Source organism: Homo sapiens, chromosome 19 (assembly GCF_000001405.40).
Source record: "Homo sapiens chromosome 19, GRCh38.p14 Primary Assembly".
In the NCBI taxonomy this organism is placed as follows: domain Eukaryota; kingdom Metazoa; phylum Chordata; class Mammalia; order Primates; family Hominidae; genus Homo; species Homo sapiens.
In genome coordinates, this window is record NC_000019.10 from 6,121,333 (window position 1) to 6,144,134 (window position 22,802).

Genomic DNA, 22,802 nt, shown 5'->3' on the forward strand with positions numbered 1-22,802 from the left:
ACCAAGCACAGATATTATTTTTCAATCTTTTTTTTGCCATAGAACTCGAACGGCATGATAAAATAAAAAGATATTTTTCTGCTAAAATACAAAATAAAATCAAACAAAATTATTTATTTATTTATTCATTTATTTTAAAGATGAGGTCTGGCTCTGTCACCCAGGCTGGAGTACAGTGGTATGGTCACAGCTCACTGCAGCCTCAAACTCCTGGGTTCAAGGGATCCTCCCACCTCAGCCTCCAGAGTAGCTGGGACTACAGGCACCTGCCACCACCAAACCCAGCTAATTTAAAAAAAAAAAAATTTTAAGAGACGAGGTATTGCCATCCTGCCCAGGCTGGTCTCAAACTCCTGCGCTCAAGTTATCCTCTGGCCTCAGCCTCCCAAAGTTCTGAGATTACAATCATGAGCCACCCTTCCCTGCCTCAAACAAAAACATTTAGACAGCACGCTTACAAGGAAAGAATTAGTAAAACCACAGGGCCAGTGAAAACGAGTTTGGGTATGAGAACGGTACAAAAACTGCCTCCTTCCTGGGACATTTCCAGGTCTGCTTGAGAGAATTTACCCTTGGTGATTGTTAAAACTATTTTTTTTTCTCCCAGACGAGCTTCTCCCTAATTGATTGTTTTTATTTAACTGATGACTGTTAATTAACCAGCTCTATTAGAACTTTACAGGCCATTCACGCACTGATGCGTAGTTTTAACAGCCTCTTACTTGGTACAAACCTGAGTCTGAGCATCTGATCCTTTCAAGAGTAGCATAAAAGGACAATTTCCATAATGATGGGGCTTCTGAATAGCGGATTTTGTGTAAAAAGCACCTGAGTACCGCAGAGATCTTTTATTTGTCTCGCGGCTTTCTGGCCATCCGCTGCCACATTTCTCTGGAACACGGAATCATTTCCATAGCAAATACCTGTGACCCCGAACAGCCATCGAAGGGGCAAGCTGAATACACACCAAGCACATTTAAAAGAAAAAATAATTTTTTTTTTCAGCCAAAGGTATTAGCCACTTCTAGGCAACCGGGAAGCAGAAGGATAGAATGGCTGTGCATGCCCGTGTTCCATATTAACTTCAAAGGCAAGGAAGAAGGAAAGGAAAGAGGAAAAAGAGAAATAGAAGGAGGAAAAAAGAATTTGGAGAGAAAATAAAAGGGGTAACCGGGCATGGTGGCTCACGCTTGTAATCCCAGCACTTTGGGAGGCCCAGGTGGGTGAATCACTTGAGGTCAGGAGTTCGAGACCAGCCTAGCCAACATGGCAAAAACCCCATCTCTACTAAAAACAAAAAATTAGGCCGGGCATGGTGACTCACGCCTGTAATCCCAGCACTTTGGGAAGCTGAGGCGGGTGGATCACGAGGTCAGGAGACCAAGACCATCCTGGCAAACATGGTGAAACCCTGTCTGTACTAAAAATACAAAAAATTAGCCGGGTGTGGCGGTGGGCGCCTGTAGTCCCAGTTACTCTGGAGGCTGAGGCAGGAGAATGGCGTGAACCCGGGAGGCAGAGCTTGCAGTGAGCTGAGATGGCGCCACTGCACTCCAGCCTGGGCAGCAGAGTGAGACTCCATCTCAAAAAAAAAAAAAAAAATTAGCCCGTGTGGTGGCGGCGCCTGTTAATCCCATCTACTCGGGAGGCTGAGGCACAAAAATCTCTTGAACTCGGGAGGTGGAGGCTGCAGTGAGCTGAGATCGTGCCAGTGCACTCAAGCCTGGGCGACAGAGCAAGATCCTGTCTCAGGAAAAAAAAAAAAAAAAAAAAAAAAAACGGTGAGGAATGAGAAGGAAAGAGGTTTATAAAAAACAGAGAAACAAAAAATTTCAGTAACAGAAGCTGTCAAGCATACTAGCTGCCTTCTTTATGAAAATAGAGATAAAAATGTTCAATTCTGGGCGGGCACAGTGGCTCCTGCCTGTAATACCCGCACTCTGGGAGACCAAGGCAGGACGATCGTTTGAGGCCAGGAGTTTGAGACCAGTCTGGCCAACAAAGCGAGACTTCATCTCTACAAAAACATAAATAAAATCAGGCTGGGCACAGTGGCTCACACTTGTAATCCCAGTACTTTGGGAGGCTGAGGCGGGTGGATCACTTGAGGCCAGGAGTTTGAGACCAGCCTGGCCAACATGGTGAAACCCTGTCTCTACTAAAAATACAAAAATTAGCCAGGCGTGCTGGCAGGCGCCTGTAATCCCAGCTACTCGGGAGGCTGCGGCAGGAGAATCGCTTGAATCCAGGAGGCAGAGGTTGCAGTGCACTGAGATTGCACCACTGCTCTCCAGCCTGGGTGACACAGCAAGATTCCATCTCAATCAATCAATCAATCAATCAATCAATCAATCAAATCAACTGGGCATGGCGATGCGGACCTATAGTCTCAGCTATCTGGGAGGCTGAGGTGAAAGAATTGCTTGAGCCTGGGGAGGTTGAGATTGTAGTGAGCGGAGATTGGGCCATTGTATGATAGGCAACAGAGCAAGACCCTGTCTCAAAATAATAAGAACTCAAAAAAGAGAATGTTCAATGTTTAGCTTAATTACGACTAAGCTGTAACGGTAACATAGTGCGTTGACTGGTCTAGGTTCTGTGCCTGAATGTTACCAACTTTTCAGGATTGATACAAAGATTTACCTTACAACTTGGCAAGGCAATCTAACGAAAGGGACAGTGGGGGCTTTGCGACTAGTTCCCATCTTTATAAACGACATTGGCTTCATCTGCATTATTTTAAGGACATCACTGTGTGAACTGTACCGCTTTTATTATTATGACTGTTTTAATAGACACAGGAGGCTGGGCACTGTGGCTCATGCCCGTAATCCCAGACTTTGGGAGGCTGAGGTGGGAGGATCACCTGAGCTGAGGGAGGTTGAGGCTGTAGTGAACGACAATTGTGCCACTGCACTCCATTCTAAACAACAGAGTGACACCCTGTCTCAAAACAAAACAAAACAAAAACAAATTGAGATGTAACTTACAGATGTCAAAGTGCATAATTCTTAATTGTTTACATATGTGTGACTTTTTACGTGTGTGTGTGTGTGTGTGTGTGTGTGTGTGTGTGTGTGTGTGTGTGTGTGAATCCTTACCACCAGCACCTGGATCAAGGTATGGAACATTTCCTTCTCCCCAGAAGGTTCTCTCTTGTCCTTTTCCAGTTAATACCTCTACCCCATTTTTCTGACTTCTACCACCACGTGTATTTTGCTTACTCTTTTATTTTAATTTTTTAGACAAGTCACCCAGGCTGGAGTGCAGGGGCGCGATCTTGGCTCACTGCAATCACCATCTCCTGGTTCAAGCGATTCTCCTGCCTCAGCCTCCCAAGTAGCTGGGACTACAGGTGCACACCACCATGCCCAGCTAATTTTTTGTATTTTTAGTAGAGATGGAGTTTCACCATGTTGGCAAGGCTTGTCTTGAACTCCTGACCTCAAGTGATCCACCTGCCTCAACCTCCCAAAGTGCTGGGATTACAGGCGTCAGCCACCGCGCCTGGCCTTTTCTGGCTTCTTTAGCATATTATATCTGTGAAGTTCATTCATATTGTTGAATGCATCAGTTGTTCATTCTTTTAAAAAAAATCTGAGTGGTATTTCATTATAAAAATATATCACTATTTATAGGTTTATTCTTTTGTTGACAGACATTTGGTTTGCTTCTAATATTTTTTAAAAAAAATTTTTTTTGAGACAGAGTCTTGCTCTGTCTTCCAGGCTGGAGTGCAGTGGTGAGATCTTGGCTCACTGCAACCTCTGCCTCCCAGTTTCAAGTGATTCTCCTGCTTCAGCCTACCGAGTAGCTGGGATTACAGGCATCCATCACCACTCCCGTCTAATTTTTGTATTTTTAGTAGAGACAGGGTTTCACCATGTTCGCCATGTTGGTCTTGAACTCCTGACCTTGGGTGATCTGCCTACCTCGGCCTCCCAAAGTGTTGGGATTACAGGCATGAGCCACTGTGCCCGGCCCCTCAAATTTTTAATAGACACAATTGGCAAGAAACGTCACGTGCACAAGCAAGTGGTAAGAAACTTCAAACCATTTTCTACAAGCCTTTAAAAAATTATAACAGGTGAAATTATGTCTAAGGACCCCAACTTCTTTATTCATTAACAAATATAAGTTTCAAAAATTGTTGTAATGATGTAAATGGCTTTTTGAATCCAGTTGAGTGTTTTCCCATCAGGCACTTCAAATGATAATGATGCTCTAATTTGCATGCATTGTTGGAGGAGTCATCCAGTTGCTGGCTTGATCCCTGCTAAAAGAGCATACCAGCTGCAAATTGACAGAAGAATCTGATACACGTGAAGATGGGGACTTGGAGGCTTTATCTGGAGCTGCAGCTACCAGGAGCCCCCTTCTGGTCTTCTCCAAGAACTGCACCTTGGCTTCATGGCCTTACCTTGGCACCTGGAACATGGACTCCTTCAGTATCTTCCAGTACCTGGATCCACAGTGACACAGGATGTTCGTGGTGGACAGCGAGTGTCAGACGTAGGGATCAAAGACACACCTCCAGACCTCACTCCATACTGGCCACCCCGACAGGAGCCTTGGATGAGGCTGCTCATGGCTGTAGATGACACACCAAGGAACTAGAGCTTTTCAGATGCCACCTGGCCACTCCTGTTCTCGGCCATAGCAGTGTTACTTGGTACTGTCAATGTCCACTGCATTCTGTCAAATGTGTGTCATTTAAAGACCACAAGACATAACAAAAATTAATTCGTTAAAACTTATTGTATTTTATTTTTTAAACTGAGATAGGGTCTCTCTCTGTTGCCCAGGCTAGAGTGCAGTGGTGCAATCACAGCTCACTGCAACCTCAAACTCCTGGGATCAAACAATCTTCCCGCTTCAGCCTCCCAAGTAGCTGGGACTACAGGTACGTGTCACCACATCGCGTTAATTTTCAAATTTTTAGGAGAGATGAGGTCTCACTATGTTGCTCAGGCTGGCCTCAAACTCTTGACCTCAAGCGATCCCCCCGTGTTGGCCTTCCAAAATGCTGGAATTACAGGTGTGAGCCACCATGCCTGGCCTAATTTTGCTTACACACACACACACACACACACAAGAAAATTGCAATTTCAGGAGCCATGACTTATGACATCATTGATTCCTGATGGGGCAGCTCAAAAAAAACAAAACAAAACAGGACCATAAGATGGCAGTATTGCATAACAAGCTTTACTGCACGGCACTTAGATAGGTTTGCATGCGGGGAATGTCCCTTCCAGCAGGACTCCTTCCAGAGGAACTCCTGGGACAGAGGAGAGTTAGAGGCAGGGCTTAAGTGTCTAGGTGATGTCATTGAGTAGCAAGGTGGGGAGAGTCTGCATCATAGAACTCTGAAAGGCAACAATAATTTGGGGTTTCTTATGGCTGTAAGATTTTTCTTCTCTGTGATTAATAGGTGTTGTTGGGTGCAATTTTATGGGGTATGCAAAGCAGGTGGGCTCTAAATGACTAAACATATGCTTATTTGTGCAATATTTATAGCAATGGATTGTGTGAGAATTTGAGCTTGGTGCTGGTGGGCTTTGAGCTGAGAGGTCCCTGCCTGCCTGCTGTAAAGAAATAAATGAGATAGGGCTGATAGAAAGACACTGTCTTTGGCTCACTTATACAGCAAGTGACAACCAATTTAGTTCAGACCTTTCTTGCTTCTAGACCTGCACCATCCACTCTTATCCACTTCTCATTCTTCCTGGAAGCTGCCACGGAACATGCAGACCCCCGTATCCACTTTTGCCAGTAGGGACACCCACTTTTGAAAAGCCACGGACCCCTGGCAACGCAGCTGCAGACATACCATTTAACTCACCCTGCCTGGAAAAGGAAAGTAAATGTTTTCTTCCCAATTTTTGCTAGGGAAATCCAGGCACATATATGTATTCAGTAACTCAATGATATAAATTTCAGGGCTTGTGTCTGTGTGTTATTGGAAAAGCATTTGAGGCTGGCTGTCATGGTTCATGGCTGCAATCTCAACACTTTGGAGGCTGAGGCAGGAGGCTCACTTGAGGCCAGGAGTTCCAGACCAGGCTGGACAACTCTACCTCTACAAAAAAATAAAATAATAAGCCCCGCATGGTGGTGCACACCTGTAGTTCTAGCTACTCAGGAGGCTGAGGTGGGAGGATTGCTTGAGCCCAGGAATTCAAGGCTACACTGAGCTATGATCACACCACTGGGCCTGGGCAATGGAGTGAGATTCTGTCTCTAAAAAAAAAATGCATTTGAGAATTTTAGCAAATCTAAGTACATTTGGAGTCTGCTAATATTACTGTATATGGGATTTTGGTGGGACCATCCCTAAGGATTTAATAATAAAATGTCCCTTTATATTGTTGAGAATTTTAAATAATTCTTTAAAGCAGTTATGTTCTGATAAATATTTAATAACTGGCTCTTGAGTGGCATGGGGCGCTGATTTGCAGTGTTTGCCAATTCCTGTGGTGTAAATACTCCCACTGTGGCTGATTTCAAGGTACAGATGTGATACCACTGAATGTGAAGCTGAGAAGAGATGCATGCAATTGGCTCTGACTCATGCGGTTGATACATGCCAGCTCCAGCACATCATGACTTCAAGCTGTCCCAGATGTGCCCTGTCTGAATTTCTGACCTACAAAAACCACGAGAGATGATGAGTGATTATCAATGTTTTAAGCTGCTAAGTTTTTGAGTAATTTCTTGCATGCTGGAATACTATACAGCTGTGAAAAAGAATGAGAAAGGGCTATATCGTAGCTATGTTATCTATGAGGGATATATTATAGATATGTCATCTAATTCTTTTTTACAGCTGTATAGTATCCCAGCTGTGAAATAGAATACTATACAGCTGTGAAAAAGAATGAGAAAAAGACAAATACCTATTATAGCAATTTGACCTCACCCAACGGTGAGAGTTCATTATGTAATAATATCGGACCAATCCAGTTCAATTTTTATGTAACAAAGTTGTGAGTTGTCTTCCAGTTGCCATGGACCCCAGGTTGCAAGCTACATAATCAGAACATGTCCAGATGAGCTAAAAAGTCAACCACAGGTGGAACCTAAGTGCTCAGACAAAGGAGCAGAATTGAATTAAGAAACAGACGCCACATGGCAATGATCCAGTATCCAATCAGCTCGAGCCCTGGCATCACACCATCGCAAGAGCCAATCAGATAATGCCTCATTACCCTGTGACTATAAAACCTGCCCCAACTCCCAGTTCAAAGAGACAGATTTGAGTGTTTTCTCCCATTTTCTTGCCAATTGGCTCACATTAAACCTTTCTCACTGCAAAAACATAGTGCTTTGCTGGTTGATGTTCCCTTGCATATAGGCAAATTGATCCAGTTTGGTTTGTAACAGTTACATATGAGGCTTTGACTCTGTATCTCATGTTGTTGGAGCTTTTTTTTTTTTTTTTTTTTTCTGAGATGGATTCTCGCTCTGTCGCCCAGGCTGGAGTGCAGTGGCGTGATCTCGGCTCACTGCAACCTCCACCTGCTGGGTTCAAGCAATTCTCCTGCCTCAGCCTCCCAAGTAGCTGGGACTACAGGCACACGTCACCACGCCCGGCTAATTTTTGCATTTTTAGTAGAGACAGGGTTTCACCATGTTCGCCAGGCTGGTCTTGAACTCCTGACCTCATGATCCACCCAACTCAGCCTCCCAAAGTGCTGGGATAACAGGCGCGAGCCACCACGCCCGGCCTCAAGTCAGTCTTTCTTCCCTGCTTCTGTTCAATTCATTCTGACCTCCTCCACCCACCCAGGCAGTGAATGCTGCTTACTGATGGAGAGGGGGCCAGAAACAGAAATGATAAGGATACCAGAACTGTGGAGTCATGTTGGAGGGAGGCTGGTCCCAAGAGAAACCTTTGGATTGGGTGCAATGGCTCACGCCTGTAATCCTAGCACTTTGGGAGGCCGGGGCAGGTGGATCGCTTGAGGTCAGAAGTTTGAGACCAGCCTGGCCAACATGATGAAACCTCGTCTCTACTAAAAATACAACAATTAGCTTGGCATGGTGATGCATGCCTGTAACCCCAGCTACTTGGGAAGCTGAGACAGGAGAATTGCTTGTACCCAAGAGGTGGAGGTTGCAGTGAGCTGAGATCGTACCATTGCACTCTAGCCTGGGTGACAGAGCAAGACTTTGTCTAAATAAATAAAGCAGTAAACAAAAGAGGGGTGTTGAAATTCCTCCCATGAGTAATCCATTGGATATGTGAATATATTTTATTAAGTTTTTTTTTTTTTTTTTGAGACAGAGTCTTGCTCTGTTGCCCAGGCTGGAATGCAGTGGCTCGATCTCGGCTCACTGCAGCCTCTGCCTCCCAGGTTCAAGCAATTTTCCTGCCTCAGCCTCCCGAGTAGTTGGGATTACAGGTACTTGCCACCATGCCCAACTAATTTTTTTGTATTTTTGGTAAAGATGGGGTTTCACCATGTTGGCCAGGCTGGTCTCGAACTCCTTACTTGAACTCCCACCTCTGCCTCCCAAAGTGCTGGGATGACAGGTGTGAGCCACCACACCCAGCTCTATTTTTATTTTTAATATGGCAAAATACGTATAACACTAAACTTACTACCTTAACCATTTTTAAGTGTATAGTCATAAAAATTTTAATTTAAATACTCACATAGGCTTGTAGCTACTATATTGGACAGGGTCAATTTCCAATTTTTTCCCTGAGTTAGTAAGTCACCTCGTCCATGCGTAATTCATCACTCTTTTATCAGCTGGACTTTTGAGACTTAGAAACAATGACTTTTTTTTTTTTTGCTGCTGTATTACATTGAGGCGTATAATATTTGATCAAATTATGTTGTTAGGGTCTGGCGCGGTGGCTCATGCCTGTAATCCCACCACTTTGGGAGGCCGAGGTGGGTGGATCACCTGAGGTCAGGAGTTCGAGGCTAGCCTGGCCAACATAGTGAAACCCCGTCTCTACTAAACATACAAAAATTAGCCTGGTGTGGTGGTTGGCGCCTGTAATCCCAGCTACTCGGGAGGCTGAGGCAGGAGAATCACTTGAACCTGGGAGGCAGAGGTTGCAGTGAGCCGTGATGGCGCCATTGCACTCCAGCCTGGGCAACAGAGCGAGACTCTGTCTCAAAAAATAAAATTAAAAATAAAAGAAAAGAAAATAGAATAATAAAATAAAATAAAATAAAATATAGTTGTTAGAATAAGAAGCACAACTGGCATAAACAGGTTTGGGAATACACAGCTTGCACTCAGTGAGCACACAGCGAGCCTGGTATGGAAGTGGATGCATGTACATTTCAGAGCAACCCTGCAAGGTTTCCGTATGAACCAGCGACCATGCATCCTCTGTGGGGGATAGACCTTGGGTTCATGGATGAGTTGGTTAATTGGGTGTCTTGGAGGTTGGCTGAGAGCTCCCACTGTTCTTGACTCTTAAGACAAGATGGCACATGAGGTGAAAGCAGGTGCCCCAGTGGAGGATCCTAGAACCAGCCAAGTAGTGAGGATCCAACCGCCCCCTTGCCCAGAGAGGCACCAGTGGAGGACGCACAGGTGACTCACACTGCCAGCTGAGTCCCCCCTTCCCCATTTCCAGTGTAAACACCTGGATTCTTTTACAGAGTTACCCTTGAGTTCACTTTGCCCTTGGCTCTGGGGGAAGAGAGAGTCTCCTGGGGTCTGCTGGATTAGGAGATGAATGTTGCCAAATGAATGCTTCTCTTTCCGCAGCTGTTGCCTTTATGCAATGCCATTTCTATCTTCAGTTCTTTCTCCATTAAAATGTGAGCCATGGCCTGGAATGAACTTCATCCCTCTGTGTGGAGGAAGTGTCCTCAGCTGCCCAGACAGGCTCAGCTTCGGGTCTGTGTAGGAAGAACCCGTGGAAGGGAGTGGGGAGTCGAGCTCAAAGACTAACAGCCAAGACTCTGGGAGAGTGGTCAGCTCAGAGTCCTCAGGGGAGGGGGTGTGGGGATGAGAGTCCACGTTATTATGTTACCTGGGGCAGGTGGGATAAAGGTAAGAGAAGGTAAGTGGAGGGATTTTAGTGGCATACAACGACTGCTTTTGTTGCAGAGAGCTTATTAGGAAGCAGATGAGAGGAACTGAGCTTGCAAAAGGTTTGTTTAGAGGGGACCCACCCTTGGGATGGATACTGGTGGAAGGGAAAGGGAAGGGAAGGGAAACAAACAGGATTGGGGGAGACAGAGAGACACAGAGAGAGAGAGAGAGCATGAGAAGTCCAGCTGCCCCCAGCTCTGTAGCTGGGATGGTCCCTGAGTTGTCCTGAGATTTGGGGAGAGGGGCCCGAGATTTTATGCCTCCATACAGATGTTGGTGGCCCGGGGAAGGGAACAAGACCCTGGATGAGGACGTGCCATTTGGCAGATGCTGACCTGAAGGGGTGGACAGCAGAGGTCTGCTTCCAGCAACATTCCTAGAGGCTGGGGCACACATCTTTCATCACTGAAAAGATCTGGGTAGCACAGCAGCGTCCTCATCCTTGCTGAAACTTGTCTGGGATAGCTATGGACAGATTTTCTCCAAGGAGATTTACTTTTCCACGGTGAGAGGGTGTGTGTGTATGTGATTATGTGTCTCTATGAAGGTGTGAGTGCATATGTGTGTGTCATACTCTATGTAACTGTGTACATGTGCATGCGTGTAATTATGTGCACATGTGTGACTGTGCGTCTATATGAAGGTGTATGTGAGTGTATACGTGTGTGTCATACTGTATGTAACTGTGTATGTGTGCCTGTGTGAATTAAGTGCACGTGTGATTGTGCATCTATATGAAGGTGTATGTGAGTGCATATGTGTAAGTGTGTGCCATACTGTGTGTGTATGTAACTGTGTCTGTACGAGTATGTGTGTGTGAATGTATGGTGACTGTATGTGCAACCGTGTGTCAGCATGAGGGTGTGTGTGCATATCTTTGGGAGTATGTGTATGTGTCTGTGTGTGTCTGTATGAGAGTGTATATGAGTGCATATGTGTGTCATAATGTATGTGTGTATGTAACTGTGTGTATGAGGTTGTGTGTGAGTCTGAGCAAGTGTGTGCATGTGTGTGCGAGTGTATATATGTAATTGGGTATCTGAGGGTGTGTGAGGATGTGGGGTGTGCAAGTGTGTGCAGGTGTGAGGACATGTGACTGTATATGTGACTGTATCTGCATGAGGGTGTGTGTGCCTGTGTGTATTTGTCTGCATGAGGGCACACAGGAGTGTGTGTGTGAGATTATGATTATGTGTATAATTAGGTGTCTATCAGTGCATACGTGTGTGAGTGTATGTAACTGTGTGTCTGTATGAGGGTGTGTGAGTGTGAGAATGTGTGTGCATATGTGAATGGGTGTGCGTATATAATTGTGTGTGTATGAGGGTGTGTGAGTGAGAATGTGTGTGCATATGTGAGTGGGTTTGCGTATATAATTGTGTGTCTGTATGAGGGTGTGTGAGTGTGAGAATGTGTGTGCATATGTGAGTGGGTGTGCGTATATAATTGTGTGTCTGTATGAGGCTGTGTAACCATGTGTGTGCATATACGTGTGTGGGAATGAATATATGTAGTCATGTGTCCATATGAGGGTGTGTGTGAGCACGTGCGTGCATATGTGTGTGTAATTGTGTGTCTGTATGAGGGTGTGTGAGAGTGTGAGCATGTGTGTGCATATGTATGTGTCTTGGAGGTTGGCTGGCAGCGCCCACATATGTATGTGAGTGTAGGAGTGTGGGAGTGTGTGTAATTGTGTGTCCGTACGAGGCTGTGTGACCACGCATGTCCATATATGTGTGAGTGTGGGAATGCATATATATAATTGTGTCTGTACGAGGGTGAGAGTGTGAGCAAGTGTGTGCATATGTATGTGAATGTGTGAGTGTGGGTGTGTAATTGTGTGTCTGTATGAGGGTGTGTGTGACCATGTGTGTCCATATGTGTGTGTGCATGTAATTGTGCGTATGAGGGCCTGAGCAATGTGACTGTGTGACTGTCACACATTGTGTGTCTGACAGTGTACATGTGTACGAAATGGGATGTCTCTATAATGAGGCACGTGTGTGACTGCATATGTGCATGACTGTGGATGAGTGTGCATGCATGTAATCATGTGTCTGATAGTACATGTGACTGTGTGTGCGCATGTGTGTGTGTGCGTGCCTGCCAGTTTGTGTCTGTATGAAAGTATTTGAATTGTGTGAACAGGTGTGATTGTGGGAGCATGTTATGAGTGTGAGTGTATGTGAGTGTGCTTGTGATTGTGTGCCCATGGGAAGGTCTGTTTGTGTGTGAGTACCTGTGCACGTGAGAGTGTCTGAGCGAGCGAGCGAGCGTGTGTGCAACTTGCATAAATCTGTCTGGCACCAGCAAAGTGGCTCAACTGTCTTTAGAGACAGAGGTCCCTTCCCTCCTGTTGGGGACCTCTTGACCTGCTCCCTCCCCTCCAGCTTCACCCCTGTCCAAGGAGGCTGCTCCTGATCCCAGGATTCTACTGGATGGGGGGTTGGGGAAGGGTGTCACCTCCTTTCCTTTATAGGCATGACCAGGCATGGCCCCCACCACTTATGCCCACATCCCACAGGGCAGGATGTAGTCACATGGACACGCCATGCAGTCAGGGGGCCTGGGAAACATTCTCTCTCTTTAGGTGAGAGCTCTGGGGAAGAAGGGCTGAATGGACATTGGTGGACACTGGCTGTCCTGGCACAGCTGCCCAGGTGCTCTGCAGAGTAGATATTTGTGAAACATTAAGAAGGCCCTGGTGGCCAGGTGCGGTGGCTACACCTGTAATCCCAGCACCATGGAAGGTTGAGGCGGGTGGATCACCTGAGGCCACGAGGTGGAGACCAGCCTGGCCAACATGGTGAAAACCCATCTCTACTAAAAATACAGAAAATTAGTCGGGAGTGGTGGTGCATGCCTGTAACCTCAGCTACTTGGGAGGCTGAGGCAGGAGAATCGCTTGAACCCGGGAGGCAGAGGTTGCAGTGAGCCAAGATCACGCTATTGCACTCCAGTCTGGGCAACAAGAGCCAAACTCCGTCTCTCTCTCTCTCTCACACACACACACAAAAGGCCCTGGAGACAAAGGAACACTCCTTGTCCTTTTCTCCTGGCACAGCACAAGATTCTGTTGCTACATCTTTATTTACTGAGCATCTAGTATGTGCTGCACCTGGCACTGTTTTGTCTTTTTTGTTTTGAGACAAGGTCTTGCTCTGTAGGCCTGGCTGGAGTGCCATGGTACCATCACAGCTCACTGCAGCCTGGAACTCCTGGGCTCAAACAATCCCCCCACCTCAGCCTCCCTACTAGCTGTGGTTACACTTGCGCACCACCACGCCCGGCTAATTTTTTAAATTTTTCTGTAGAGACGGGGTCTTACTACATTGCCCAGGCTGGTTTTGAACTCCTGGCCTCAAGTGATGCTACGGACTTGGCCTCCCAAAGTGCTGGGATTCCAGGCACAAGCCACTGTGCCTGGTAGTGGACATTGTTAGCAGTGACTAAAGCAGAGAACGAGAAGGGGGAGGCCGCTGTAAACACATGAAGACAGGCAGCGTAAGAGAAAGTCACGAGGGCAGGAATAACATCCAGGCATACTTCAGATCCCAGCTCAAGAAACCACTCCCAGGCCAGGCGCGGTGGCTCACGCCTGTCATCTCAGCACTTTGGGAGGCCAAGGCGGGCGGATCACAAGGTCAGGAGTTTGAGACCAGCCTGGCCAACATGGCGAAACCCCGTCTGTACTAAAAATACAAAAGATTAGCCGGGCGTGGTGGCGGGCGCCTGTAATCCCAGCTACTCGGGAGGCTGAGGCAGGAGAATCGCTTGAACCTGGGAGGCAGACGTTGCAGTGAACTGAGATCGCACCATTGCACTCCAGCCTGGGTGACAGAGCAAGACTCCCGTCTCAAAAAACGAAAGAAAAGAAAGAAACCACTCCCAGACTCCCTGCCTGGGCGGGATCCTTTGATCAAGCCCTCAACATGCCTTGGGGCTCTCTTCACAATGGTAAGTTTGCATTTGTTTGTGTGATTCTAGGCCTCCTCTTATTTTCTTGAACAGGCCTCATCTGGCTTTGTTCATCTTTATGTCTCCAGCATCCAGCACAATCCCTGCCATTAGGGTCATGGCTTCATAAAAACGTCACGAATGCAACGCAGAAGTGCATGCATGCATGAATAAATGAATGATGCATGAAAAGAGCAATCTCCCTGTCCTGGAAGCAGCTTCCCCTAGGGGTGGGGGTGGGGTGCGGAGGCAGGGGCAGCCAGTGATGTCACAAGAGGTGGCTGGGATGGAACGTTCTGGAAGGTTGAATGGGGTAGAAGGCCTGTTGTGGAGGGAAACCACCCATCCTCCTGCCTCCCACCACCACCATCATCCTGGCTGGACGGAGAGGGTGACGGGGGCTGGGAAGGGGCAGCTCATGTTCAGGTTTCCAGGAGGGGCTACCTGTTGACTGTCTTTGCAGGAAGAAGAAAACACCTGAGTGACCAGATGTCCCAGCTCCAGGTGCCTTGCCAGATGGCCAGAACCACACCTCTTGAAGAGTGACAGGTGCCAGTGGTATGGGAGAAGGGCATGCGTTTTCTTTTCTTTTTTTTTTGAGACAGGGTCTCACTCTTTTGCCCAGGCTATAGTGCAGTGGCACGATCTCAGCTCACTGCAACCTCTGCCTCCCAGGCTCAAGTGATACTCCCACCTCAACCTCCCAAGTAGCTGAGATTACAGGCGCCTGCCACCATGTCCAGCTAATTTTTTTTTTTTTTTTGAGACAGAGTCTTGCTCTGTTGCCCAGGCGCAATCTCGGCTCACTGCAAGCTTCGCCTCCCAGGTTCACACCATTCTCCTGCCTCAGCCTCCTGAGTAGCTGGGACTACAGGTGCCTGCCACCATGCCCGGCTAATTTTTTGTATTTTTTAGTAGAGATGGGGTTTCACCACATTAGCCAGGATAGTCTCAATCTCCTGACCTCGTGATCCACCCGCCTTGGCCTCCCAAAGTGCTGGGATTACAGGCGTGAGCCGCCATACTCGGCCTAATTTTTATATTTTTAGTAGAGATGGGGTTTCGCCATACCAGCCAGGCTGGTCTTGAACTTCTGACCTCAGGTGATCCACCCGCCTCGACCTCTCAAAGTGCTGGGATTATAGGCACGCGCCACCATGCCCAGCTAATTTTTGTATTTTTAGTAGAGATGGGGTTTCACCATGCCAGCCAGGCTGGTCTCGAACTCCTGGCCTCAAGCGATCCACCCGACTCAGCCTCCCAAAGTGCTGGGATTACAGGTGTGAGTCACCACATCTGAACCCTACATGGCCTTTTAAAATTGTGAAACATATAATGCATATAAAATAACACAAAGCATATCTGTACGATTTAATGAATAACGATAAATATCTGTGTGCCCTTTTCACTTCGTGAAATCGAATATTACTAGTAACTTACAAGTCCTCTGTAGAGAACTCCTGAGCTCAAGTGATCCACCTGCCACGGCCTCCCAAAGTGCTGGGATCACAGGTGTGAGCCTCCGCACCCGGCCGATCGTGTGATTTTTAACGTGCAGTTCCCTGATGACCAAAGCTACTGAGCATCTTGTCCAGGATTTGTAGCCCTTTCCAGGCTCCTTTTTTGTGAACTGCCTGTTTACATTTTTCATCATAAAACACTGGGTTGTTTACATTTGTCTTTTAAATCCAGAGTTCTTTTCATACTCCGGATACTAATTTTATTTGCCCATTTTGCATTGCCATAAAGTAATACCTGAAGATGGGCAATTTATAAAGAAAAGAGGGGCCTGGTGTGGTGGCTCACACCTGCAAATCCCAGCACTTTGGGAGGCCGAGGTGGCGGGGTTGGGGGGGGGGGGGGGGCTTGCTTGAGGCCAGGAGTTCAAGACCGGCCTGGGCAATATAGCGAGGCCCCCAGCTCTACAAAAATAAAAATAAAAATAAATTAGCCAGGCGTAGTGGCATGCTTCTGTAGTCCCAGCTATCTGAGGGGAAGAGAGTTCCAGGCAGAGGGCACAGCCCGTACGAAGGCCCCAAGGAAGGACTGCACCTGGTGAGTTGGAAGAACAGTGAGGAGGCCCACGTGGCTGCAGCAGAGTGAGGAGGGGGAGGGAGGAAGGAGGAGAGCACAGGGAGGTGCAGGGCCTTGTGGACCGTGGGGAGAACTTGCGCTTTTACCTGGAGGGAGGTGGGAGCCATGGAGGGCTGCAGGCAGAGGAGAGACAGGGTTGGGCCAGCATTTCACTTTTTTATTTTTATTTATTTATTTATGTATTTATGTATTTATTTATTTATTTATTTTTGAGATGGAGTTTCACTCTTATCTCCCAGGCTGGGGTGCAGGGCGAGATCTCTGCTCACTGCAACCTCTGCCTCTTGGGTTCAAGCAATTCTCCCACCTCAACCTCCTGAGTAGCTGGGATTACAGGTGCCTGCCGCCGTGCCTGGCTAATTTTTGTGTTTTTAGTAGAGACAGGGTTTCACCGTGTGAACCATGGCCAGGCTGGTCTCGAACTCCTGACCTCAGGTGATCCACCCGCCTCGGCCTCCCAAAGCACTGGGATTACAGGCATGAGCCACCATGCTTGGCATTCATTTTTATTTGTAAACACTTTTATCGTGGAAAGTTTCAAACACAAAAGTAGAGCTGATCATAACATAAGCCCCCAGCTACCTATCACTCGGCTCCAACTTAAAGTCAGCCTTGGTCATTTCTGTGTCACCCCACTCCTCGTGGGTAGTTTTAAAGCAAGCACCAGACAGTGTGTTCTTTCATGCATGAATCCTTTGGCAACAAGGATTCCTTTCTCTAACTTCACCCCAAAGCAATTATCATACTTTAAGGAAGTAAACATCCCCTCTTCATTTCTTCATGTCGTCTGAGACACAGTCAGTGGTGGAGTTCTTGGCGGCCTCGTGCACATCTTGTTTGAATTGAGATCTAGCAGAACCCACAATGCGCCTGGGTGATGGGCCTCTCACGTGACCAGGACCTCTCAGGCTCCTGGGAGGAAGCTTAGGTCCAGGCAGGCGGAGAGAGTGGATCCCATTTTGAAGGCTGAGCTGATGGAATTAGCTAATGAGTCAATGTGCTAGGAAGAGAGAGGGAGAGAGAGAGGGGAAGGGGGAAGGGGGAGGGAGGGAGGGAAAGAGGAAGGAGGAAAAGGAAGGAAGGGGAGGGAGGGAGGGAGGAAGGAAGGAAAGAAGGGAGGGAGGGAAGGAAAGAGGGAAGAGAGAGGGAGGAAGGAAGGAAGGAAGGGGAGGAAGAAAGAAAGGAAGGGAAGGGAAGAAGGAAGAAAGAAAAGGCAGGGACGGAGGGAGGAAGGAAGAGAGGGGAAGAACGAAGGGAGGAAAGAAGGAAGGGAGGGAGAGAGGAAGGGTAGGAGAATGGGAAAAAGGAAGGAAGGGGAGGGAAGAAGGAAGTAGAAAGGAGGGAAGAAAGGGAAGAAGCAAAGGGAGGAAGGAGGGAGGGAAGGAAGCAAGTCAAAGGTGAATTAAGGATGACTTTGAGGTTCTGGGCCAGATCCAGCTGCTCCAGAGGGGCCTTGGGCTTCCTCCTCATTTCTTCTTGGGCCGCACACTCCGTGCATGTTTTTCATGCATATCTGTAGCTTGGTCTGGATCTGCTGTTTTGGGCTGCTCGCTTTGTCCTGCTGATTGATCTACTTTGTGTGTGTAAACTCCGTAGGCTCATTCAAGTTCACTTTACTTATTTTTAAAATTAAACTTATTTTTTTTTTTTTGAGATACAGTTTTGCTCTGTCACCCAGGCTGGAGTCCAATGGTGCTATCTTGGCTCACTACAACCTTCACCTCCCAGGTTCAAGGGATTCTCCTGACTCGACCTCCCAAGTAGTTGGAACTACAGGTGTCTGCCACCATGCCTGGCTAATTTTTTTTGTATTTTTAATAGAGACAGGGTTTCACCATGTTGGCCAGACTGGTCTTGAACTCCTGACCTTAGGTGATCTGCCAGCCTCGGCCTTCCAAAGTGCTGGGATTACAGGCGTGAGCCACCGCACCTGGCCTCAAGTTCAACTTAGAACATGGCCTTTTAGCCACCTGTTTTCACTGAAATACAAAATCAGTTTTTGCTGGTGTAAGAATCACGTGCATGTTACAGGGCTTCATTCACCAGAGGGTTTACTCAAGTTTTCACCTGCTGTGTTCCTGCACTCACTGATGGAAACTTTTAGAGTTCATAAAACATTACTGCAAATCTAGAATCCAGAACAACTGCTTGATTCTTGTGTCAAGCACGCTCTTTATCATGAACAAAATCGTACAATTTTCCTCCCTGAAAGCCACTAGAAAAATCAGTTTCAATAAATGTTGACCAACAATTTGGCCTCCACTTCCCCCAGGGGACAAAGTTGACAATATCTGGAGACATTTTTGATTGGAATAAATTTATATTTAGAATTTGTGATTTTAGGCCAGGTGTGGTGGCTCACACCTGTAATCCCAGCACTTTGGGAGGCCGAGGCAGGCAGATCACCTGAGGTCGGGAGTCTGAGACCAGCCTGACCAACATGGAGAAACTCTGTCTCTACTAAAAATACAAAATTAGCCAGGCATAGGCTGGGTGCGGTGGCTCACGCCTGTCATCCCAGTACTTTGGGAGGCCGAGGCGGGCAGATCACGAGGTCAGGAGATCGAGACCATCCTGGCAAACACGGTGAAACCCAGTCTCTACTAAAAATACAAAAAAAATTAGCTGGGCGTGGTGGTGGGCACCTGTGGTCCCAGCTACTCAGGAGGCTGAGGCAGGAGAATGGCGTGAACCCAGAAGGTGGAGCTTGCAGTGAGCCGAGATCGAGCCACTGCACTCCAGCCTGGGCGACAGAGCAAGACTCCGTCTCAAAAAAAAAAAAAAAGGAATTAACACACTGAGAATTAAACAACCTGAAGGAGTGGTGGTACAAACACCACTCCAAAGCCCTCAAACAGTAGAGTCCAATTAATGACTATGCAAAAACCCAGGGTAGCCCCGGAATCCTGTCCGCTACTGATGGGTTAAAGACCATGTGATCTCGGCCAGGCGCAATGGCTTACGCCTGTAATGCCAGCACTTTGAGAGGCTGAGGCGGGCGGATCACTTGAGCTTGGGAGTTCGAAACCAACCTGGCTAATGTGGTGAACCCTTGTTTCTACTAAAAGAATATTTTTAAAAATTAGCTGGGTACGGTGGCCTGTAATCCCTGCTACTCCGGAGGCTGAGGCACGAGAATTGCTTGAACCTGGGAGGTGGAGGCTGCAGTGAGCCGAGATTGTGTCACTGCACTCCAGCCTAGGCGACAAAACCAAACCAAACCCCATGTGATCTTAAGTCTGATTACTGATAAGTGTTTTCGAAAGAGGTGGCATTGATTTTTACCACGATGAATGAGAGCACCTGTTTTCCCACATTTTCATAATAGACAATATTGTCAGCTTTTTTGATCTTACTTAACCTGAAAGGTGAAAACTGCATCATATTTTCTGTTGTATTTCTCATAGGACTGAGTTTGAGCATGTTTACTTCTTTTTAAAAGTCATTTTTCAGTTTCAGATAATTATCTATTCATGTCCTTTGCCCGCTTTCCCATTGGGTTTTGGTCTTTTTCTGATTAATTCCTCAGGGTTCTTTACATATGAGGGAAATCAAGCTTTTATACTTTGGATGTATTGTCCACATCTTTCCCCAATTTGTTGTTGATCTCTTGATTTTTGTTTGTGGTATTCTTGGCCATGTGGAAAATTTAAAAATTTTATGTAGCAAGACTTATCCTGTTTCTCCTTTAGGCCCTTTGAGTTTTCATGTTAATATTACCTTTAAGAGAAGATAAATGTGTGGTCCCATGAGAGTTTCTTTCCCCTGGGAGGCTTCAAAATATTTTCTCACCCACAGAATTGTGTATAGACCCAGACTTTATATTCTAACAATTTAAGAGACTCTTCTGTAAACTCACAGATTGAATACCCTCTGGGTTTTACAAATGCTCTATTATCTGGCATGCCGGCCACTCTCCTCTCCTCCCAGGCCCAGGACAGGCATGACCAATGGATCCTAGGATTCTAGGCAGACATGACCAGTGGATGGAAGAGTTGGCCTCATCCCTACAGCCCCTTTGCCAATCCTGTTAAACTCCCTGCTTTTTTGCTTTGCAGTGCTGTGGAGCATGGTTTCTGCACACCTGGAATGACTGGAACCCCAAAGACTCAAGAAGGAGCTAAAGATCTTGAAGTAGACATGAATAAAACAGAAGGTATATTGCACTAAAGAGTACGTGGGAGAGAGAGTGGCACATTGATTCCACAAAGGCTCTTTGCAGAGGAGTCTGGATCTAGAAAGATGTAGCCATTCCTTGCCTGACCCTGCTGACCCCGACCCCCCACCCTTTTGTTTTGAGACAGGGTCTTGCTCTGTCACCCAGGCTGGAGTGCAGTGGTGCAGTCATAGCTCACTGCAGCCTTGACCTTCCAGGCTCAAGTGATCCTCCTGCCTCAGCCCTCCAAGTAGCTGGGACTACAGGTGCACACCACCATGCCCAGCTCTGTATTTTTTTTGTAGAGACAGGGTTTCGCTATGTTCCCCAGGCTGGTCTTGAACTCCTGGGCTCTAGCAATCCTCCCACCTTGGCCTCCCAAAGTGCTGGAATTACAGGTGTGGGCCACCGTGCCCAGCCTAGGGCCTATTTTCTATTCTTGATAGGTTGTTGAGGTAGCAGGGCAAGTTGTTCACATAATTCAGAGCTCTGCTCTACTGGTGATGTGACACTGGGCAAGTCACTTGCTCTTTGGAGGCCTCATTTGCATATCTGAATGATGGGGGCATTGATAACAGCACCTCCCTGTCAGGTTGGTGAGCCCGAGTGGATAAAGTACCCAGGAATCATCCATGTAGATAGGGTGCGGATATGATCATAGTGATTTATTAACATTAGGCTATAATCATTTTACTGTCAGAGCTAAAGTCAAGGGACATGGTGACATCATAGACAGCTCTGATACCAGTGGGTTGGGGGAGGTCCCCAAACGCCGGTGGGACCTCGAACCCAGCCATTATCCAGGCTCTTGACACCATCGAGAGTGAATTCAAGAAACAAGTCAGAAAATAGTGAAAGTGGGCCGGGTGCGGTGGCTCACACCCGTAATCCCAGCACTGTGGGAGGCCGAGACAGGCGGATCACGAGGTCAGGAGATCGAGACCATCCTGACTAAGATGGTGAAACCCCGTCTCTACTAAAAAATACAAAAAATTAGCCAGGTGTGGTGGCGGGTGCCTATAGTCCCAGCTATTCAGGAGGCTGAGGCAGGAGAATGGCGTGAACCCGGGAGGTAGAGCTTGCAGTGAGCCGAGATCATGCCACTGCACTCCAGCCTGGGTGACAGAGCGAGACTCTGTCTCAAAAAAAAAAAAAAAATAGTGAAAGTACTGAGGTTTATGGCAAATAAAAGTACTTGCATTGCAAAGTACACATTCAAGGAGAGGGAGTGCAGGCGTGCTTGAAAGATAGCATCACACACAAAGGAGTTTGGGGATGCTACCTTTATGGGTCCAAAGGGTGGAATATTCATCTAAATCCCTAGAAAACTGGCCGGGCACAGTTCACATCTGTAGTTTCAGCACTTTGGGAAGCTGAGGCGGGCAGATTGCTTGAGGCCAGGAATTCAAGACCAGCCTGGCCAACATGACAAAACCCTGTCTCTCTTAAAACTACAAAAATTAGCCAGGTGTGGTGGCACATGCCTGGATTATAGTGAGTCTCAACTTATTGCAACCTCTGCCTCCCAGGCTCAAGCGATTCTCATGCCTCGGCCACCCAAACAGCTGGCATTACAGTCATGCACCACCGTGCCTGGCTAATTTTTTTTTTTTAACAAAGCGCCCCAAAGTGGGTGTCTGAAACAGCAGAAATGTATTGTCTCACAATTCTGGAGGCCAGATTACTGAGATGAAGGTGTGGGTAGTGAGGTTGCAGTGAGCCAAGATCACACCACTGCATTCCAGCCTGGGCAACAGAGTGAGACTCTGTCTCAAAAAAACAAAAACAAAAACAAAAACAAAAACAAACACCAGTCATTGGATTTAGGGATCACCCTAAATCCAAGATGATGCCATGATGTCATCTCAAGATCCTTCACTAAATCCACCTACAAAAACCCTGTTTCCAAATACGGTCACAGTCTGAAATTCTGGGTGGACATGAATTTTGGAGGTTCACCATGTAACCCACTACAGTCATTAAAATATCCCACAAGTGTCCAGGTGACACCTCCATGTTTTTGTCCAATTTAAAGCATCTCCACTCCCCCCTGCTTCAGGCTGGGGTCAGGAAGGCATGATAAGGTGCTCTTTGAGTTCCTAGATGCTCTTCTCCTCATCACCCCCATCTCCCCAGGTGGTTTCTTTGTGAGCTGGTGCTGACTCCCAGAGCTGATTAGCTCGGGAAAGTGGGGTTGAAGGGGGCCTGTATGAACTAGGCTTCCCTTGTTGTAAGTTGTTATGAGATTAATTGTGCATCTCCAATTCCTTTGTGGAAGTCCTAACCCCCAGGTGCTCAGAATGTAACCTTGTTTGGGAATAGGATCATTGAAGTAATTTGGTTTTTTTGTTGTTGTTTGGTTTTGTTGTTGTTTTTTTGTTAGTTAGTTTGTTTGTTTGGTTTTTGAGATGGAGTCTCGCTCTGTTGCCCAGGCTGGAGTGCAGTGGTGCGATCTTGGCTCACTGCAATCTCCACCTCCCGGGTTCAAGCGATTCTCCTGCCTCAGCCTCCAGAGTAGCTGGGA

General features: G+C 47.0%; 1 protein-coding gene and 1 long non-coding RNA gene across 11 annotated transcripts in view, besides 3 other annotated features; one reads left to right on the forward strand and one right to left on the reverse strand.

Moving 5' to 3' along the window:
• Positions 1–4,093: 4,093 nt before the first annotated feature.
• LOC105372255 (uncharacterized) overlaps positions 4,094–22,802 on the reverse strand; it is a 74,099-nt gene continuing 55,390 nt past the window's right edge. Inside the window, exon 4 of the long non-coding RNA NR_187772.1 lies at positions 4,094–6,649. This is a non-coding gene — a long non-coding RNA (uncharacterized LOC105372255). The remainder of the gene's footprint in view (positions 6,650–22,802) is intronic.
• Positions 4,206–4,500: a silencer, noted in NCBI's record as "tiled region #9390; HepG2 Repressive DNase unmatched - State 12:CtcfO, and K562 Repressive DNase unmatched - State 12:CtcfO". NCBI's record gives its function as "represses a minimal TATA promoter and a strong SV40 promoter by Sharpr-MPRA in HepG2 and K562 cells {active_cell/tissue: HepG2 | K562}" and the evidence as "EXISTENCE:reporter gene assay evidence [ECO:0000049][PMID:27701403]".
• Positions 13,299–14,202: an enhancer, noted in NCBI's record as "NANOG-H3K4me1 hESC enhancer chr19:6134642-6135545 (GRCh37/hg19 assembly coordinates)". NCBI's record gives its function as "activates a minimal SCP1, AML or CMV promoter by ChIP-STARR-seq in naive H9 embryonic stem cells {active_cell/tissue: H9 hESC(naive)}" and the evidence as "EXISTENCE:reporter gene assay evidence [ECO:0000049][PMID:30033119]".
• Positions 14,203–15,105: an enhancer, noted in NCBI's record as "NANOG-H3K4me1 hESC enhancer chr19:6135546-6136448 (GRCh37/hg19 assembly coordinates)". NCBI's record gives its function as "activates a minimal SCP1, AML or CMV promoter by ChIP-STARR-seq in naive H9 embryonic stem cells {active_cell/tissue: H9 hESC(naive)}" and the evidence as "EXISTENCE:reporter gene assay evidence [ECO:0000049][PMID:30033119]".
• ACSBG2 (acyl-CoA synthetase bubblegum family member 2) overlaps positions 14,301–22,802 on the forward strand; it is a 57,459-nt gene continuing 48,957 nt past the window's right edge. For 6 of the 10 annotated variants that reach the window (NM_030924.5, XM_017027333.2, NM_001289179.2 and 3 more), the window contains exons 1-2: positions 14,335–14,577; positions 20,181–20,278. In NM_030924.5, the coding sequence (NP_112186.3) occupies positions 20,212–20,278 (67 nt within the window). In that variant the 5' untranslated portion in view covers positions 14,335–14,577; positions 20,181–20,211. The other 4 variants (NM_001289180.2, NM_001289177.2, NM_001289178.2 and 1 more) reach the window with 4 other exon arrangements.